We start from the raw sequence: 20970 nt of genomic DNA on the forward strand, positions 1-20970 counted from the left end.
CTTCCACCTCCAGCCATGTAAGGGTGCTGCCTTAAGGTGCCATCTTGAAAGCAGAGACTGGGCCGTCACCAGACACCAAACCTGCCAGCATCCTCATCTTGGGCTTCCCAGCCTCCGTAACTGTGAGCGATACATTTGTGCTGTTTATATATTACCCAGTCTCAGGTGTTTTGCTATAGCAGTGCTAGTGGACTAAGACAAACCCAAAGGCTTATATTTAGGTCTTTTTCAACCCTCTCAGTTCTTTCAAGTTTTCCTATTTCAAATACCATAAATTTGGCACAATTTCCTTAAACATCCTAAGCAGACGTATTTGCTTAACTGTCACTTTATAAGACTGAGCTGAAGAGTATAGTTTTGAAGAATCCTGTTGAGAACAAGGAATACAACGTAAGGAAATTAAACAAAAAGCAGTTTTACGTTTTCCATTAAAGTGTCTGGCCTTTTATTTGGGGACAGGTATCCTGCTGGATGGAATACTATGCAGCCATAAAAAGGAATGAGATCATGTCCTTTGTAGGGACATGGATGGAGCTGGAAGCCATTATCCTCAGCAAACTAATGCAGGAACAGAAAACCAAACACTGCATGTTCTCATTTATAAGTGGGAGCTGAACAATGAGAACACATGGATACAGGGAGGGGAACAACACACACTGGGGCCTGTCAGTGGGTGGAGTAGGGGGAAAGAGAGCATTAAGAAAAACAGCTAAGGCCAGGCACAGTGGCTCATGCCTGTAATCCCAGCACTTTGGGAGGCCGAGGCAGGCGGATCACCTGAGGTCAGGAGTTTGGGACCAGCCTGGCCAGCGTGGTGAAACCCCATCTCTACTAAAAATGCAAAAATTAGCCAGGTGAGCTGTAGTCCCAGCTACTTGGGAAGCTGAGGCAAGAGAATGGCTTGAATCCAGGAGACAGAGGTTGCAGTGAGCCAAGATCATGCCATTGCACTTCAGCCTGGGCGACAAGAGCAAAACTCTATCTCAAAAGAAAAAGAAAAACAGCTAATGCGTGCTGGATTTAACATCTAGGTGATGGGTTGATAGGTGCAGCAAACCACCATGGTGCACGTTTACCTATGTAACAAACCTGCACATCCTACACATGTACCCCAGAATTTAAAAATTAAAATTAAAAATTAAAAAAGAAAATAGAATGAGTCTAATAAGTCTAATAAGAGTCTAATAAGAGGCCTTTTTTTGCAAAGTGGGCAGTGCCACTAGCCTAAACTCAGAGTCAACTTCCAGGCAAACAGCTCTCCTCATCCCTAAAAGCTTTTGGCTATGTACCAAAGGCCAAATTTGACTTATTTAAAATAATCTGTAGAGCACAGTGGTCAGAGAGGTACTTGCAGGAGCAGCAATGCTGCCAGGGGCCTGGGGCTGGGCTGTCCGAGTTCCCATGTGCTAAGCCCACTTGAGCCACAGCCACGTCCGGGGATGAGACAGTTTTTGGTCCTACTATGAGCAAGAAGAAAAAGAAGAATCCCTTTATGTTAGATGAGGAAGGGGATACACAAACAGAGAAAAACCAGCCGAAGAAGTGGAACCAGAACCAGCTGAGGACAACGATGTAGAAGCTGATGAAGACGACGGTAGGAAAAAAGACATTTCTGATGTTCTAGATGACTTGAACTTCTTTAATCAGAAGAAAAAGGAGAAAAAAAAGACATTTGATGCTGATAAAGCTGAAGAAGTTGTAAAGGATCTTAAGATTGAAAGTGATGTTCAAGAACCAGATGAACCAGAGGAGGACCTTGACATTATGCTTGGCAATAAAAAGAAGAATGTCAAGATCCCAGATGAGGATGGAATACTAAAGACACAGCTCTAGCCGGGCGTGGTGGCTCATGCCTGTAGTCCCAGCAATTTGGGAGGCCGAGTCAGGTGGATCACAAGGTCAGGAAATCAAGACCATCCTGGCTAACATGGTTGAAACCCCATCTCTGCTAAAAATACAAAAAATTAGCTGGGCGTGGTGGTGGGAGCCTGTAGTCCCAGCTACTTGGGAGGCTGAGGCAGGAGAATGGTGTGAACCCAGGAGGCGGAGGTTGCAGTGAGCAGAGATTGTGCCACTGCACTCCAGCCTGGGTGACAGAGTGAGACTCCATCTCGAGGAAAAAAAAAAAAAAAAAAAAGACACAGCTCTAGAAGATGAAGACAGCAAAAAAGACGATGCTGTCTCATTCAGCAATCAGATAGGCCCTGATAGGTAGGTCAGAAAGAGACTGCACATATAAGGAGCTACTGGATCATATGTTCAACATTATAAGGGGAAAGAATCCAGACACAGTTGCTTGAAAGAAAAGGAAATTCACCATGAAACCTCTACAGGTCGTCCAAGTAGGAACCAAGAAAACTCCTTTCATCAACTTTATGGATATCTGTAAACTATTACATCAACAGCCCAAATGTCTCCTTGCATTTCTTTCATTTTTTTTTGTTTTGTTTTTATGGTTTTTGGGGAGTTTTTGTTTGTTTGTTTTTTGAGACAAGATCTGGCTCTATTGCCCAGGCTAGAGTGTAGTGGTGCAATCTCAGCTCACTATAACCTCCACCTCCTGGGCTCAAGCCGTCCTGCCACCTCAGCCTCCTGAGTAGCTGAGACTGCAGGTACATGCCACCATGCCAACTAATTTTTATATATTTTGTAGAGATGGGGTTTCACCATGTTTCCCAGAATGGTCTCAAACTCCTGGGCTCAAGCAAGCCATTTGCCCTGGCCTCCCAAAGTGCTGGGATTACAGGAGTGAGCCACTGCATCCAGCCTCCTTGCATTTTTGTTGGCTGAATTGGGTACAAGTGGTTCTACAGACGGTAATAACCAACTTGTAATCAAAGGAAGATTCCCATAGAAACAGAAAATGTCTTGAGGAGATATATCAAGGAATATGTCATTTAAGTTATGGGGCTCCACCCTTATGAACAGAGTAGTGCCTCATAAAAGGGCTGGAGGAAACTAGCCCTTGATACATCAAGGAATTGTCAAGGTGATGTCACACATGCCAATCACCAGACACAATCCTGCAGAAGGGCATCCGACTCTATTTCTTACAGTGTGAAAGTTGTCCTTCTCAATGTTCTGTTGCCAGTATCAACACCAGGCTGTCACGGGCAAATAAGCACAGCTCCATGCCAAAGCTAACCAATTTGCTAATCACTAATTTTGCAAATTGTGTTGTGGAGATTTGGCTGGATAAGTTTGCCATCAGAGTGGATCTACCATTGTATTAAAAACGAGATTAAAAAGCTGCCAAGTTCTTTGGTGAGTAGTTGGTTGGTCTGAAATCCTTGCAAGATGGCAATGCTCAAGCTGGTGATATATCCATTGCCTACTTTAACAACTGTCAGAGAAATGCGACATGGGGTAAGGAGATGCCTTTTAAAAATCATTCATAGACTTCTGTAAAATGCAAGATAAAGTTTTAACAGATTTTTTCAAAAAATAAAAACTAAAACAAATAAAAGAACTTCTAAAAGAATGACATTTACAATTTTAAAAATAGCTCTGGTTAACAGGTATGTAGTGGCATCTCCTATTTCTATATAGACTTGGGGAAATTCTTGATTAACTTGTTGCTATTTTAATAGCTGACAACCTAATGTTCAACTCAAAACATGGAAATTTTGAAGTCCCAGTCAGATACACATGGAGTCTGCTCAATTAACTCTAATGTGAACCAGTGGCAACTGTGTGACTTCTTAAGGAACAGTGTAATGTAGAAAAACAAACATGGGATTTGTAGTCAGGCCATGATAGAAAGCTGGCTTTATCACTTAGTAACTAAAACAAAGCTGGATGAGCTTTGGCAAGTGATTGAACACAGTGACCTTCAGTTTCCTTCACAGTAAAAAAGGGGCTATAAAAACTACTTCACAGGGTTGTTGTGAGGATTTAACCAGGTAATTTATTTAAAGTGCCTCATTTAGTACTTGGAACAGAATGAAGTGGGCACTTCAAAAGTGATGAATACTGAAAATTTTTTATTACCATCAACAACAACATAACAATAATAAGACAAATTAAGAACAACAGATGATGCTTTATTTTGTGCTGGAGAGTTTTTTTAATATTTAAAAAATTTTGTTGCTGTTGATTTTTAAGACTTTCATAAAGCACATTGGTAATAGAGCAAAAAATCCTATCTCTTCTCAGCATCCTATCTTTCAAGGCATAGGAAAACATGACAGGTAGCACTGTTGTATTCTATGTTGTTATATTGTCCAGCATTTCCCTGGTTCTGTTTTTTCAGATATTCTACAAATGTTCCACCAACTGAAGTTTATCTTTGGACAGCAAAAACTCACCTGAAAACAATGTTTGTGTGTGAACTAATGTTTTTGCCTCCATACATAGTAGTGATCCAGGAGGGCCTTGGTCTCACACCCCACTGTTGAAAACAGTCATCAGAAAGTTCCTTTAAGTTCCATGAGTGAGGTTCAAACATGTCATCGACACCATTAGTACAAAAGGGCATGACTACTTCTGTGCAGGCCTAAGAAGCAAACCAAGAGAGAATCCAATTAGAAAAATGAGGCAAAAAGAGGTTAAATAAATTACACAAAGTCATAATGCTGGTAAGTAGTGAAGGCAGGGTTTGAACTCAGGCAAGGCAGCTTCAACGCCCTGTTCTTTACTTCTGCGCCATATAATCTCTCATTATTCTTAAAAAGACTTGGCCAAGAAGTCACGGAAGTCAGGATTATGTCCCTTCATAGCAAACTGCTTGATTTCACATTTATTATCACATTTAACCCTCAAAACAACTCTGCAAGGAAAGTTTATTATTATTAGTCTCATTGTGCAGATGAAGGACAAATTAGACTCCCTTTCTTTTATATGTCTATAAAATGCTTCCTTTGTAGGACTTATCAAGATCTATTGAAATACTACTTACTTACTTTTTTACTACACTAGATTTGATCATGTACCATTTATCTTTGTATCTTTGAAACCTAGAGGAGTGCCTGACACATGTAAGAACTCAATATCTATTTGGTGATTATTAAATGAACAAATGAATGAACAAGAAAACTTGTCCATAGTATCACAGCATAAGGTAACAGAGCCCAAAACTGGATCCAGGTTAGGTGACAAAATCTTGTGTACCCTGATTTTTTTTTACAGCACAACTGTGTCAGTGAAAAGTAAGTTCCACTTGGGGAAATTATACATATTTACCTGATAGCTCCAACCCAGTGTTCCCAGACTGCTAGTTGCTGTCTCTGAAATATTCAGGCATTTCACCTGGCCCGAATAATTGTAATATACATTCAGAGCTTGGAAAATATTCTGCAGCAGCAGTGAATCAGATACATTGGGATTTTTCAAATACTGGCACACTACCTGTCATTTTAGAAAGATAAATGGGGAAAGAGTCAGAATATGAATATAAAATGACAGTTTAATAACACAAAGAAGAAATATGATTTTGATCTGATCATAAAATATTCTTAAGCTACTAACTGCAGTGTTTAATTTCTCTCTTGGGTTTAATCCCCTCCATAAATGAATAAACCTCTTCAATTACTCCTTAGGCTATAGAAATAAACCGAAGTCATTTGCATGGTATGCAAAGTCCTCTCCATCTACCATCTTAGCTTCCTCTTTGCTGCCTTTGCTCCAGCCTAGGAAAACCATTCCCCACCACACCAGGCTCCTTCCCCTTTGCCCTTTCTCACCCTGAAACACTGTTTTCCAACTCCTCTCCCACTCCACTAATGCCTTTGAACACCAACTCATCTTTTACAACACTCAACTCAAATATTACCTCCTCTTCAAGGCCATCCTTGCCTATGTTTCCAAGTTGGGAAGAATTAAACCTCTCCCTTCTTGGTGCCTCCATTATACCCTGTACCTATTTTTATCACAGCCCCTGTAATGCTCTACTTCACTCACTTGATTTCAGAATGTCTCCCTCAGTACTTAGCAAGGTATCTGGTAAGTAAATGTTTGCTGAATGAATTACTATACTTTTATAAAAATGCAAAATTTATAAAATCTCGTATGGAAAAACTATACCAAGTTCCAGCATCTGTCGTGTGATAAAAAGCATATGCTGCAACTCCCCAGCTCCCAAATATTCCTATCACTATCCTATAAAAAATGCCTGGAATCCTAGCTATAAAAATCAGACAATATTCAGGGTTAGGAGTAAAGGTGAGGACTGACTAAACAGAGCCAGTGCAAACTTTCTTGGGTACAGAAATATTCTATATCTTAATAGGGTTACATGAAAAATGATATAATTTGTGTATTTCATGGTATCTAGATTTCACCCCTCCACCACCAGAAGAAGAACCATACACAAATATTGAACTCTTGTTAATGATAATAAAGCTGAAGTATTTAAGAGGAAGATGTCTGCAATTTACTTTAAAATTCATTTTAAAATAGGATAAATTAAAAGATAGATGAAGTGATGGATAGGTGAATATATATGTGACAAATCAAATATAATAAAATATTATTTATTGAATTTAGATGTTAGGTTCATGAGTGTTCATTGTCCAATTATTTTAACTTTTCCATATGTTTCAAACTTTTCATAATAAAATGTTGGAGAAAAATAACAGGCAATGGAATCATAGCTGAATAATACTAACAACAACAACAGCTAGTAATTATTAAGCCTTGGGTTTCCAACCAATACACCATGTAATCTTCAAAGAACCCTATCAGATAGATGATTGTCCATTATTTTACATGAAAAAAAAAACCTGATTCTTAGGTTAAGTCATCTTCAAGGTCACTCAGTTGGTAAATAATAGGGCCTAGATTTGTTCCCAGCTGTCTCTGGTTATGAAATATACATCTTATCCATTATGACACACAGCTTAGGAAGTGTCCACCTGTAAAACTACAAATAGTCCCAGTGGCAAGGCAAACCCAGTAAGCTTGAATCTCTATTGACTCTGACATGAATTCAGTAATCTGGTCCTTTTCCATTTCATACGGAAAAGATTATATATATAATAGACTAGTCCTGACAAAAAAAAGACTAGTCCAGAGAAGAAGCCAGGAAAGGAGCCCAGTCACCCCACCTCAGGGAGAGAGATTCTGGGCAGCAGGAATAACAGGGCCTGGGCTGGGGACATGCTCCCAGTCAGGAAAGGAGGGTACTGAGAAAGGATGCAACCAAACCCAGCCCCTCATCACAGTTCTGCCTGGCACCAGCTGCCAGCGGGGGAAAAAAAAAAAAAGGAAAACTGTAAAAGAGAAAATGAATTTTCAGGAAAATTCAATGCCTCTCCCCAAATATATTCTGCACCACAATATTTCCATGGAATGTTTATTGGTACTTTGTGGAAAAATGTTTCCTAGCCAGATAGTTTTGAGAAACTGTATATTAGCAAATGTGAACAGTTTTCCTGACTGGTTGTTATTATTATATAATCTCAGATGATTTCTCAGAACCTTTAACATGCTCAAATGTAATATGACTTTCCAAAGGAAGATGGAGTGTGCATCATTGCCAAAAGTTTTCAGAACTGCTGAATGTGAGAAAAGTCAGAAATTAAGATGTTCAAATAATTGGATATATCTTTCAAAAGTAACTGTGAGGTCATAAGAATAAGGAATACCAGGGTTTAGGATGTACATGAAGAGAGAATTGAGCTAAACTGAGAGCTAATTAAAAGTCAAAATAGTGTTTATTTTGGCAACTCTCGATTTTTCATGGTAAGTCAAAAAAATACCTAACATTTGCATGGCACTTTTCTCAGAAAACATTCCTAGGAAATATGTCAATAAGAAATAACTCAAGACAATATGGAAATCAAGAAACAATCATAAGATATATTAAACCATCTATTGCCAACAGTTGATCAGCATTCTTTCCTGAACCTGGACATAGATTCAGCTCTTTCAAAATGCAGCACATAACTACAAAGTAGACACATGGAATGCAGAGAAGCGCCTTATGTTCAAGGACAGCATGGTAGATGGGGAAGGGCGACAATGCAAGCTGGGCAGGGGGAGAGGAGGTAGTGATGTGCAGCAACAAGTGGCCCAAAACTCTGGAAAAGAACAGTAGCAAGTGAGTGTGACTCACATGCTGGCATCAGAGCCCCTCTTAGAGCTTAGAACACTGGGCCTCTGTCAGGCAAAGAAAAGGAGTCCCTATGAATAGCCATCTCCACAAATAGCAGTTACTGTCACTTCTTAAAAGACACAAGCATGGCTGGAGACCGGCACTGGCTGACAATACTTGGGTTTCAGCAGCCCCAGTTACACAGAGAGAACATCATGGTCAGAGACTTGGCCTCTGTATGATGGAATTCCAAGTCCAGATTAAGGGCACTCCCCAGGCACTGTGCTCTGTGAGGTCAGATCACCCTTGGAGTACTGGATCCAGCTTTGTACACAACTTACGAAGGGCACCGACCAACATTAGAAAATCTAGAAGAGAGCAATCGGGATGGGGAGCTGAAAAACAGCTGAAGCAACCCTAAAATTGGGTCATTCCCCACCTTTCATCATTACAAATAAGGCTACAATAAATACCCTTGGGGCTAAATCTTTCTTATATTCTTAATTGTTTTCTTGGGATAAATTCTTAAATTACTGGCTCAAAAGAGATCAACATGTTTAAGGCCCTTGGTACATCCTGTCAAACTGCCTTATAGAAAGGAAGTGCTGATTTTTAATTCTACTACTATGCTAGATAGAAAGCCTGAAAAAATGTCACTTAAAATTTTTTTGCAAAATATTTGCAAATTTAATATGGAAATTTTATTTTAGGTAAGTCTAAATTTCCTTTCTAACTCAAAGATTTTGTGAGTCCAAGCATCATCCTCTACCATTAAAAAACAGAATCTCTAATATCTCTTTGCACTTCCTTAACAATTTTGGTAGCAGAGTGAATGAAGTTTCAAAAAAATACTGAAGTCATATTAGCCAGACCTCAGCACTATTCCTATGCTTATTTAAAGACTAGAGTAACTCAATGCCAGGCACAGTGGTTCATGCCTGTAATCCCAGCACTTTGGGAGGCCCAGGCAGTAGGACCACTTGAGGCCAGGAGTGCAAGACCAGCCTGGGCAATATATCAAGTCCTCATCTTTACAAAACATTAAAACTTAACCAGGTGTGATGGCACGTGCCTATAGTCTCAGCTACTCAGGAAGCTGAGGTGGGAGGATTGCTTCAGTCAGGAGTTCCAGGCTCCAGTGCTATGATCACACCACTGCACTCTAGCTTGGGTGACAGAGTGAGACTCCATCTCTTAAAAAAAAAAAAAAAGACGAGTAGTTTAAAAGGAGATATTCACATACTTTTATCAAATAACTGTAGGATGCATAAAATACATAAATATTAAATTGAACCATATGAAATTCTCACATTTATAAGTCAAAAACAGTCAAATATCAACAATTTTGTCTTAACCTCATATAATACTTTAGCTTAACCCTGATAATGTGCAGATATTACTGACGTGACAAAAGCAAGCACTTGGCCTGTTGATTGTTTACATAGAGGCTGTGATATAATCAGACAACCATCTCTGTCCAAAATACTCAACACCCAGGTATCCCTGAACTTACTTTCTATTTATTTTGTGAGCCCTAGCAAACGGCTTCTTCTAAACAATTTCTACATAAGGCGTGTCATTCCTACACATACTGTAAATGCGCTGAAATGTGAATAGCTGGGACTGAGGTTGCTAGTACAACTACTGAATATTCTTTGATGGCAGGGCAGGTTCTTTCCTCACAATAACCAAGAGAGCACCATATAATGATCATTCCCATTTCACAGAAGAGAAAACAAGCTCAGAGGTCTGGCTACAGATACACAATTTAAAAACCATGAATGCAAGAAGCGTATGATTGGGTTTTCATGCTCACGTGTGAAATGGACCACCCTCAAACCTGGTTATGCTATCAGCACATTACCTGTCTGATGTGGGAAAAAAAAAAAAAAAAAGCACTATGAATATAGGTCTCAACCCAGACGTCAACCACAAAGTCCTGGTATAATCATCTGGTTTCCCAATATTACATAATAATAATAGCTATTATTATTTATAACTAGCATCAATTTAGTGCTTTTACTTTATACCAGATGCTATGAAATACTCATAACAACCCTAATAAGCATTACAATTGTTATTATACACATTTTGCAAATGAGGAAACTACAGCACAGAGAGGTTAAGAAACTTGCCCAAAACCACACAGCAAGGAAGTGGCAGAACTGGGATTCAAATACAGACTCTAGTAATCCCAGTTACTCAGGAGGCTTAAGCAGGAGGATCCCTTGAGCCCAGGAGTTCAAGGCTGCAGTGAGCTAAAATCATGCCATTGCACTCCAGCCTGGGTAACAGAATGAGACCTTCTCTCTTAAAAAAATAAATAAAAGAAAGAAAGAAAGAGGCCGGGCGCGGTGGCTCACGCCTGTAATCCCAGCACTTTGGGAGGCTGAGGCGGGTGGATCACCTGAGATCAGGAGTTCGAAACCAGCCTGGCCAACATGGTGAAACCCCGTCTCTACTAAAAATACAAAAATCAGGCACAGTGGTGGGTGCCTGTGATCCCAGCTACTTGGGAGGCTAAGGCAGGAGAATCGCTTGAACCCGGGAGGCAGAGGTTGCAGTGAGCCGAGATCATGCCATTGCACTCCAGCCTGGGAGACAGAGCGAGGCTCCGTCTCAAAAAAAAAAAAAAAAAAGAAAGAAAGAAAGAAAGAAAAGAAAAGAAAAAAACACAAATGCAGACTCTCTGGAGCTTCCAACCACTGTAACTATATTGCATGTATTCAACTAAAAGCTAAAAGAAAAATAACAACACAAACAATGCTTAAATACACCTGCTGTCTCATGCTTAATTTTTTAAAACAATTTTCCTAATTCTTAGATCATCTTTATATTTTTCTAGGTTTATTTGTTTTGGCAAAAACTTAGAATGAATTTTGTGGCAATATGAAATCATAAAACATTAAAAGTATGTAATAGTAAAAAAAAAAAAAACAACTGTAAAATAGTAGAGTGATACGGCATTTCCTAGAATAAAGATGAACATTCAGGAAACAGAAAGAGCATTAGAAAGTCCATTTTACTCATTCCAGTTTTAAAGTGTATAGAAATAGTTGAGAAAATAGAACATTCATGCAACCTTACTACCAAACTAATCAGATCTGCAACCAAGTATTTCAGTTCTGCCCTTTAATCCCACATGCACCAGACAAAGTAAAGATAATGATTTGTTTAAAAGTTTTAAGTGTTCCTACCTATGAGAGTACACATTTAAATAAGAGAAGGAAAAGGGGGTCAAAGAAAATTTTTTAACAGAGGAAGGAAAGAAGATATGTTGGGGGAAAAAAAAAAGACCAATCTCCTCTCAGAGCATGGTCCATCCACATTAGAGAAAGGATTAAGCAGATACATTCAGCTTTTCTAACAGATTTTCTTTCTCTAAGGCTTCAATACCCCTCTCACACTCACTCAGATAATCACATTAGTTTTGTCATTAAAAGCTCCCTTTTCATAGAATGCACCTAAACCGCTTAAACCACCCAGAGAGGTCGCATACATTACCAAACACCAAGACAAACGGAAGAGATTTTTCCATCTTATGTCATTATTTCACTATATCTATCTACATGCACAGCAGCCTATGCTGAAATATTTGAGAAGTTATCAGCTGAAATGTGATTCCAAAATTAACAAATTACAGCATCCTTTAAAGTTGCTCTTTAAGCTGGGAAGAAACCTAGTAGTTTTCATGCTGACAGAACAGTCAAATGACAGAGGGGTTTTCTGTTTCCCTTTTCTCTTCTTCCTTGTGTTCTACCAGCCAAGTCCATGATTATTTCTGCATGAATGTTGCAGCTTCTGTTAACAGTAAACAAAAGCAAATGGAGTCTGAGTGTGCAAAGCCCAAAGACAAATTAAAAGGAACGATACTTGAATTGACACGGAAAATGGCATTTAGTCGCTGCCCATGGATCCTTCAGAACTGTACAAGGTCCCAGACAGAATTGGAAATCACCTGCTTTTTTTCATAACCTAACTGTTACATATTATCTCACCATCCTAAGCCTGAGTTACAGACTCAGAAAAGGACGCCTGTTTGTCAGCCCTTTAAAAAGGAGGAAGTGTATCAGAGGGAGGAGGAGTTCTGGTTAAATGGAACTATCCAAGTGAAAGAGCAGTCCCCAACTGGGTAGTGTTCCAGGGATTAGTGGGTTGGGAGAACACAGAGGGGGGTCAAAAAAAGGAGAAATAGAATGAACAGTGAAAGAAAGTGATCTGAAGCTACAAGTTTGGGAGGGAGACGTAGTGGAAAAATTCTGAAAATCAGATGGGTAACTAACTATAGGATGAAATTGGAAACAGAGGCAATGGAATTTCTCAAGCAGGGGGCAAGAGATAAGATTACTTCTGGTGGGGTGCAGGCTGGAAACAGAATCATAAATACCAGCAATCAAGAATTCCTTGATCTGTCAAAAGAAAGGATAATGTCAGTAAGAAATAACTGAAGAGAATGACAAGAATTAATCCTGGATAAAAGAAGTAAAGGGTGACTGTGAGGGAAAGACCTAAAGATATCTTACCTTAAAAATAAACTTTTATAATGCATATATATAAAGCATAAAAGGATTGCAGTAAATCAAAACTAGATGACAAAATATTTGAGGTATACTCTGCTGGTTTTGAGTAATTATTTAGAAGAACAAAGGATAAAATATTTATTCACATGTAAGACTGAACAGCAAAATATCCCAAAATGAACATTAAAGAGGTAGGGAGAAAACCAGTTAGACTGCTCACTATTCCAAATTGTGGTACACCAACTAACATTCAACAGCTATATTTCTCCAGCCTTTTTCTAGATAAGTGGTTAGCAAAGTACAAACCCCAGGCCAAATCCAGCCCACTGCCTATTTTTACAAATAAGTTATTATTGGAGACAGCCATCCTCAATTGTTTATGTATTACCTATGGCTACTTTCATGCTACAACTGCAGAGTTGAGTAATTGTGACAGAAACTATATGGCTCGCAAAGCCTAAAAATATAGCCCTTTGAATGCAGAAAGTTTCTCAACCTCTGTTCTAAATAATGAGAGAATTCCCCATATGTTTTTATCATCTGACAACTCATTCATTCTTCAAGTGAGAATAAAGATACAAATGTAATTCTCACCTTGTACACAGATAGATATAGAGTTAAATCTGATAGATGTCACCCTGTGAGCAATGGTCCCCTCAATCCTCAGTCAAGTTTCCTCCTAACCCAGTGCAATGCAGTAGATGATCAGAGGCTCTGAACAGTGAAGACCCAAGTTCAAATCCTACTTCTACCACCTCTTAGTTGAGCTTTAATTTCTTCTCCATAAATCTTGGATTATACCTCTTTTTCTACACAGTACTTTTAAAAGAATTTAGTGAGACAGCATACATGAAAGCGCTTTGTAAATAGTAAAGTAATATGGACAGATAAAGCATTATTAGCACATAGATGTTTATGGAGATGAACTAGTTTAGATTTAGTTTTTCCCTATCATTTTGATCCAGGTTTTCTTTTCTTTACTTTTCTTTTTTTGACGCAGGATCTAGCTCTGTTGCCCAGGCTGGAGTACAGTGGCATGATCACAGCTTACTGCAGCCCCAAGCAATCATCCCGCCTTAGCCTCCCAAGCAGCTGGAACTACAGGCAGGCACCCCTATGCCCTGCTAATTTTTTTGATTTTTAGTAGAGATGAGGTCTCACTATGTTGCCCAGGTGGGTCTCAAACTTCTAGCCTCAAGCAATCCTCCCACCTCGGCCTCCCAAAGTGCAGGGATTACAGGGATGAGCGACCATGCCAGGCCTATTGATTTAGGTTTTCTAACATAAAACATGATCTGCTCTTTTCAACAACTTTGTATTGTTGAAATTCATTCTAATTCAATATATACTTACCTCTGGCCTGCTATATGCAATACACTCACTGGTCATTCTACTTTTTAAATGAAGAAAAATAATAGCAAATGAACTTGTTTAAGTTACAAATTTTTAAGCAAGGTATACATGTAATAATTCAAAGGGGTGGTTAAATTAAAAGTGCATTTGAAACCCGGCTCTATATCGCCAATTCTATTTTCACTTCCAACACTCATTCTAGCTGAAGAGTTGGTTATATTCTCTAAATTTAACCATCAAGTTGGCCAGCCTTTGTTTTTAAAACTAAAAGGAAAGCTCTTTACAAAGAAATGCTTAAAATGAACATACACAATAAATAATTTTGACATGAAAAGAACCTTAAAATTTATACTGTAATGTGTCCTTATACTTTCCAAAGTGTTTCACATCCAACATTTTATTAGATCCTCAGCACAACCCTATTTGGTATGTAAGTACTGTTATTCCCTTCTACAGAGGAAGACGGGATGGGGAAAGAAAAGCACCTTGCCTAAGATCACACAGTTGGTAAGTGAAGCAGCAGTTCTGGACCAAAACCTCACTTTCAGAATCTAATTTGATGTTCTTTCCACTCTACTGTGCTGCATGGGGTCACTCTTCACACTGAGGGTAGCACCTACAATGCTTTCGCAGCTGACTAGATCATGGTGCTATGATAATGACTGCCATTTATTAAGCATCAACCATGTATTACATAGATGGAAGTTACACATATATCACAAAGATTAAATACATTATACATGCAAAGTACACAGCCCAGGATTTGGCACATAGTAATTATTCCATTAACAGCAACTTTAGGTATTATTTCTAATTCGTACAACTCTATAATCAATGAATTCTATCTCCATTTTTCAAATGAGGAAACTGAGGCTCAGAAAAGCTAGGTAACATGTCCAAGCCCACATAATCAGAAAGTAGCAGAACCCAGGATTCCAGCTCAAGTTTGACAAACTCTGGAGCCCCTTTGTCACTGGGACTTTCTCTGAGGCAGAAAGTCAGAGTATGCACATTAAAAAAAAAGTGTGTTATTAAAAAATGATGACAGGACATTTTCCTATTACCTTGATAGGCCAAGCAGGCAAAGGCTGTAAAAAGTTAGAGGCATAAGGATAGTCCACCATTGCCAGATTCACCCAGGTTTCAGAGATCCAGTCTTTCAAATGTTGGATGTCCTGAGAAGTTAATGGGCTGCATAAGTGAAGGGCTCCAGTAAGCCACTGCAAACCACTGCCTGGGAATAGAATCACACTGTTGGAATCTAAAAAGTACTGGTCAACAGATGTCTTTACAGATCATTTATTCTTCACATAGTATTTTAGAAAACTCAATCTTTTATACCCCTTCTCCCAGGATATTTTCAGAGCAACTGGAGAATCCCATGACAGACAAGTTGCCTATCCTCATAGAGTTTACCATAATTAGTATTCAGAATTATTCTCCCTTTTTAATATACTATTAAAATGAATAAATAGGAACACTATAGAACAACAAGAATACATAAACTACAACTTAGTAAAACAAATGGATGTATCTATCAAACAGTGCTAAGCAAAAGACAGTAGACACAAAAAAGACATGCTATGTAATTCCAATTACTAAAACATTTAAGAACAAGTAAAAATTAATCTATGGTTCTAGAAGTGAGGATGTTTTTGCTGGGTAGGTATAGAGGTAGTGACTGAAAAGGCACGAGGAGATTTCTGAGATGCTGACAACGCCCTTTACTGATTTAAATGCTAATTATACTGTGTCCTTGCTTTGTGAAAATTCATCAAGCTACGCATTTTGATTTGATTTTGATTTGTATAATTTTCTGTATGTACATTATACTTTAACAAAATGTTTACTTAAAAAGCGACAACTACTGAATTTAACAAATGAAAGGTTAAAAAAACACACAATTCCATTCTCTTAATTAAAGCTTACCAGTATTTGAGAGTCGATTAATGGCATCCCAGGACCTGTGGATGCTCTCTGAACAATGTGGACCGCTTTTCCTAAAATCTGTAGTTACGATCTTCATAAATACACCACAAGGTACTAAATCCTCAAACTGCCAGATAGGGGCAGAAGCTGCAAGAGCTCTAAATGGCAAGAAAATCAAAGAAAGAAAAAAGAAAAGAAAAAATATATATATATATTATATATATGTCATCTAAATCAAGTTTTAAAGTTGAAACATAATAAAAATATTGAGAAAAATAACACAGCTGTTAATGAGACAGAAGCCAGAAACCTCAGGGTAATGGCATGGAACATGTTTTACCCAAAATGAATCTCTAAGTTTCCCTTGATAATCATTAAGAAACGTTCATGTCCAGTACAAATGCACTTACCCAACTACCATATGAGGATATTTCATCCTAAACCAGGCGGCAAGCATGCCACCATAGGAGCCTCCTATGGCAATGACAGGTTGATTTTCAGCTCCTGGGATTGTTCTTTTCAAGTGTTTGATTAACTCTGCAAAATCAGCCAGAGCTTGTTCTGATGTCAGGAAATTCAAGTGTCTGGAATCCTAAAGAAATATAACAAAGAACACGGGTATAAATGTGCACATAACAGCAGCTTAGGAATAGCATGGATCCAGAAGAGAGCCAGTGTCAGATAAGCTTTTCTCTAAATAGAATTTCTAGGCAATTGAGCTAAAATGCCTAGTCAAAGCAATAACTGTGTGGATTCAAACTCATGAAAATGATTTTAAGTTTGTGGAAGAACATAATGTATTTTGTATGCAAGTAGATTGTAGAAACAACAGAAACAAATTGTAGGTAAAATTTAATAGCAAATGTGATCGAATATAAACTAAGCTTAATAGATAACTGTTATAACTTTTGTTTTAAATCTTGGCACATTTAAAATGTCTGCCACACAGGCAAATATAAACTAAATCTAGTGGACAATTGAGGTAAGAATCACCAGTAAAAATAAAACTCACCCTTCTTCATCGGAAAGATTATATATGACCTCGGCCATATCAACAACTGAAACAAAGTAGCCTGCCTATTTTAAACAATTATAAAATTGGAAAGAAAAAAAAACTATTTTCAGGTATTGGAAAACAGGCAACATGAGACATTGATCTTTGAGAAAAGGAAAACTCATAATGTTAAGTTTCATAAACATCCTGCTCTCTACATGAAGACAATTTCCCTACTGCAGAAGGTGAAGCCCAGTGTCCTGCTGAGCTGAGAAGGCTAAGAAGGTCTTTTAAAATATGTCTGCAAATTCTTGACACTCATTCCTTTAAAAGGTGAAGCTTAATTCCACTCCCTTTGAACTTGGATGGGATTTAATGACTTGGTTCTAATGAATAGAATGGGGCAGAAATAATGATATGTGACTACCAAGGTTAGGTCATTAAAAAAACACTGCAGCTTCCACCTTGCTCTCCCGCACTGCCAACTTTGAGGGAAATTAGCTGCCTTGTAATGAACTCAAGTAGACCCTTAACTGCAGCCTCTTGTCAACATCCAGCACCAGTTTTATCTCGTATGTGAGTAATCCTCCATATGAGAGGCTCTCCAGCCCCAGTCAAGACTTCAGATGCCTGCAGCACCAGCTGACATCCTAACCTCATGAGACCCCCTGAAACAGAACCACCTAGCTAAACCACTCCTAATTCTTCACCCATGGAAACTATAAAGTAATAGATGTTTATTGCTGTTTTAAGCCATAAGGTTTGAAGTACATCTTTACTAGACAACGAATACAGCTACATACCTCTATTAGGCTACCCTGTTTGACTTTCATGCTTTGGTCTCACCATCCTGATTTCTTCCATCATCTGGCATATTACTGAATCACATAGATCCCATCTTTCCTATCTCCTATATATGCCACCTACTCCTTTAGCTTTCCCCCCTCTTCCAAGATGTATGCCTTCTTACCTCCTCTCTCCCTGTCTGTCACTATCCTTTACTTCCAGTTTTTATGGCACTCTGTACAGTTGAGTGCATTTTTTTTCTAATCCTTGCATAATATCTATAATATCCTTCATGCTACTGACATATTCTGTGAGCACACAAAGGGAAAGAAGTATATCAAAAAGAGCCCCTGGCTCCATTTTGCTAACACAGTATCATTTATAGAAACCTAGGAGAGGAAGTTATGTTCTATCTACAACAAGCTAACTGCTTCCCAGTGGTTTCAGGACTTGTCAAGTCCCTTAATCAGATATTTACGCAAAATACCAAGCTAAAGAATAGAATTTCCCATACAGCTCAACAAATATCAGCAAATCATCCCACTTTATATTTATAACACAACATTTTTACTTATTTTTACTATTGTATTTATTTATAATATGAGATAGTAAAATATCCTTTTTAAAAATAAAAACTCCTTTCAAAATAGGCAGCCTAGTAAAGGACTGGCCCCAAGTCCTTCTAGCTGAGAGTTCCCAAAAGCATATGTATACACTGATGGTATTAGGAAGCACACAAACATTTTTAATGGAACATTTATTGCTTCATTTTAGTGTAATTTGTAAAGAATAACCAGTACACAGAGCCCTTGGTTAAGATAATGCTAAGTTTAAAAAGTGAGCTGATTAAAGAAAAATATTAGGTAAATAATAGTACACGTGGCAAATTAATATAGCCAAAGTCACAAGTGTAGTAGTACATGAATGACTCAGTTGAAGAAAAAGTGTCCTGGTTTATTAGGTAGAGTCTGTGACAAAGGCCAAAGCTCCTGTGAGAACAGGAAAGGCTGAAAGGGAATCCAAGGGGCCAGTTGGCCTTAATGCATCATACAGCTTATTTGTCCTTATTTTATTGATTTTATTTTATTAAAAACATCTTATCAGATAAATTTGTTATGCTCATTATATTTTTTCCAGTGGCAGGCTCAATAATTTAAGTGTACGATTTATAAAGCGGAATTGTTTACTGATATTTTTGAAATAATAAAAAGCTCCCTGTGCTGTCTCTGCAGCCACAGAGTAAAATTTAACTTTCTGAGGCACACAGAGTTAAAAACTGATTAACATTAAGAATTATAATAAAATGGCTTAAAAAAAACCCTCAGTCTGTTCAAATTGTATCTAAAAAGAAACTATTAAATATAAACTATTGAGCTTTTAGGCATTTCAAATTTAAGTTATCTCACAGTGGGGCATATAATTTAGAAACTATTCTAAATTGAAAAGAAAAAGCTTGTAACTTTTAAGTAAAAAGTATCTTTACCTTGAATGAGTTGTCACCAAAGGGGAGAGACTCTCCATAGTATCGATGTTCAGCAAACACCAACATAGCTTTCAGTTCCTCAGCCACATCCCACATGAACCCCTAAGAAGAGTTTACAAAATCACAGGATAAAATCAGAATGTGAAAAAAAGTCACTGAACCTTTTGGCAAACCATATGGAATAGATGTTAAGCCAGAACAAAAAGAGCACTCTACAAAGTTGCACAATTTGTGTTTGTTCCACAAATAAATGACATAATTGATGTCTTATTGTTGCATATCAATCTCACACTTTATGAGTGAAACAATTAAAAATAATCCCAGGTTGCTCATCCACTAGTCATCCACGTCTTTTTATCCTGACACTCTAGCCCTAGCATCAACATTATGTCTAAAATGGTCTTCATGTACAAAGAGCCAGTACAAATCCTACTGAAATTATTTTTAAATAAGGACGAGGGCCTCTTCCCTAACTCATTCTATGAAGCTAGCATCATTATGATACAACACCTGGCAGGGACACAATGAAACAAGAAAACTTCGGGCCAATATCCCTGACGAAAATAGATGCAAAAACCCTTAACAAAGCTAGCAAACCAAAATCCAGCAGCATCAAGAAGTTAATTTACCAGAATCATATAGGCTTTATTCCTGGATGCAAGGATGGTTCAACATACACAAATCAATAAACAGAATTCACCACATAAACAGAACTAAAAAATAAAACCACATGATCATCTCAATAGATGCAGAAAATGTATTCGACAAAATTCAACATCCCTTCATGGTAAAAATTCTCAAAAAAGTAGGTATTGAAGGAACATACCGCAACATAATAAAAGCCATCTATGACAAACCCATAGCCAACATCGTACTGAATGGGCAAAAGCTGTAAGCATTCCCCTTGAGAACTAAGACAAGGCAAGCATGCTCTGTCTCAGCACTCTTATCCAACACGGCACTGGAAGTTATAGCCAGTGCAATCAGGCAAGAGAAAGAAATAAAAGGCATCCAAACAGGAAGAGAGGATGTCAAACTGTCTCTTTTCACAAATGATATGATGCTATACCTAGAAACCCCACAGACTCCACCAAAAGACTTCTAGAAGTGACAAAACAACTTCAGTAAAGTTTCATTATCAAATTTAATGTATAAAAATCAGTAGCATGTCTATATACCAATAACAATCAAGCTAACAGCCAAATCAAAAACACAATCCCATTTACAATAGCCACAAAAAGAATGAAATATCCAGGAATACAGCTAACCAAGGAAGTGAATCATCTCTACAATGAGAATTACAAACCACTGCTGAAAGGCATCAGAAACAACACAAAGAAATGGAAAGACATTCCATGTTCATACATAGGAAGAATCAATATTGTTAAAATGGCCATACTCCCCAAAGCAATTTACAGATTCAATACTATTGCTATCAAATTACCAACATCATTTTTCACAGAGTTAGGAAAAAAAAACTATTTTGAAATCCATATAAAACAACAACAAACAAACAAACAAAAAACTTGAATCACCAAAGCAATCCTAAGCAAGAAAAACAAAGCCAGAGGCATCACACTACCTGACTTCAAACTATACTGCAAGGCTACAATAACCAAAACATCAGGTACTGGTACAAAAATAGGCATGCAGACCAATGTAACAGGATAGAGAATCCAAAAATCAAGCCACATGCTTGCAACAACCTGATCTTAAATAAAGTCAACAATAACAAGCAATGGGAAAAGGACTCCGTATTCAATAAATGGTGCTGGGATAACTGGCTAGCCATATGCAGAAGATTGAAACTGGACCCCTTCCTTTCACCATATACAAAAATCAACTCAAAATGGATAAAAGACTTAAATGTAAA

At 37.9% G+C, this 20970-nt stretch overlaps 1 protein-coding gene, 1 non-coding gene and 1 pseudogene across 5 annotated transcripts in view; 2 read left to right on the top strand and 1 right to left on the bottom strand.

The window, feature by feature from the left end:
- PRCP (prolylcarboxypeptidase) overlaps positions 1-20970 on the bottom strand; it is a 78709-nt gene that overhangs the window by 11144 nt on the left and 46595 nt on the right. For all 4 annotated transcript variants that reach the window (NM_001319214.2, XM_005274093.2, NM_005040.4 and 1 more), the window contains 6 exons: positions 19098-19199; positions 16245-16426; positions 15835-15992; positions 14970-15139; positions 5182-5346; positions 4308-4495 (listed from right to left, as the gene is read on the bottom strand). In NM_001319214.2, the coding sequence (NP_001306143.1) occupies positions 4308-4495; positions 5182-5346; positions 14970-15139; positions 15835-15992; positions 16245-16426; positions 19098-19193 (959 nt within the window). In that variant the 5' untranslated portion in view covers positions 19194-19199. The remainder of the gene's footprint in view (positions 1-4307; positions 4496-5181; positions 5347-14969; positions 15140-15834; positions 15993-16244; positions 16427-19097; positions 19200-20970) is intronic.
- EIF2S2P6 (eukaryotic translation initiation factor 2 subunit 2 beta pseudogene 6) lies at positions 1333-3363 on the top strand (annotated as a pseudogene).
- Positions 9806-9906, top strand: LOC124902840 (small nucleolar RNA U13). Its single transcript, XR_007063023.1, has one exon. It is a non-coding gene; the product is annotated as a small nucleolar RNA U13 (small nucleolar RNA).

The sequence above is a fragment of the Homo sapiens genome, chromosome 11 (assembly GCF_000001405.40).
Source record: "Homo sapiens chromosome 11, GRCh38.p14 Primary Assembly".
Classification (NCBI taxonomy): Eukaryota; Metazoa; Chordata; class Mammalia; order Primates; family Hominidae; genus Homo; species Homo sapiens.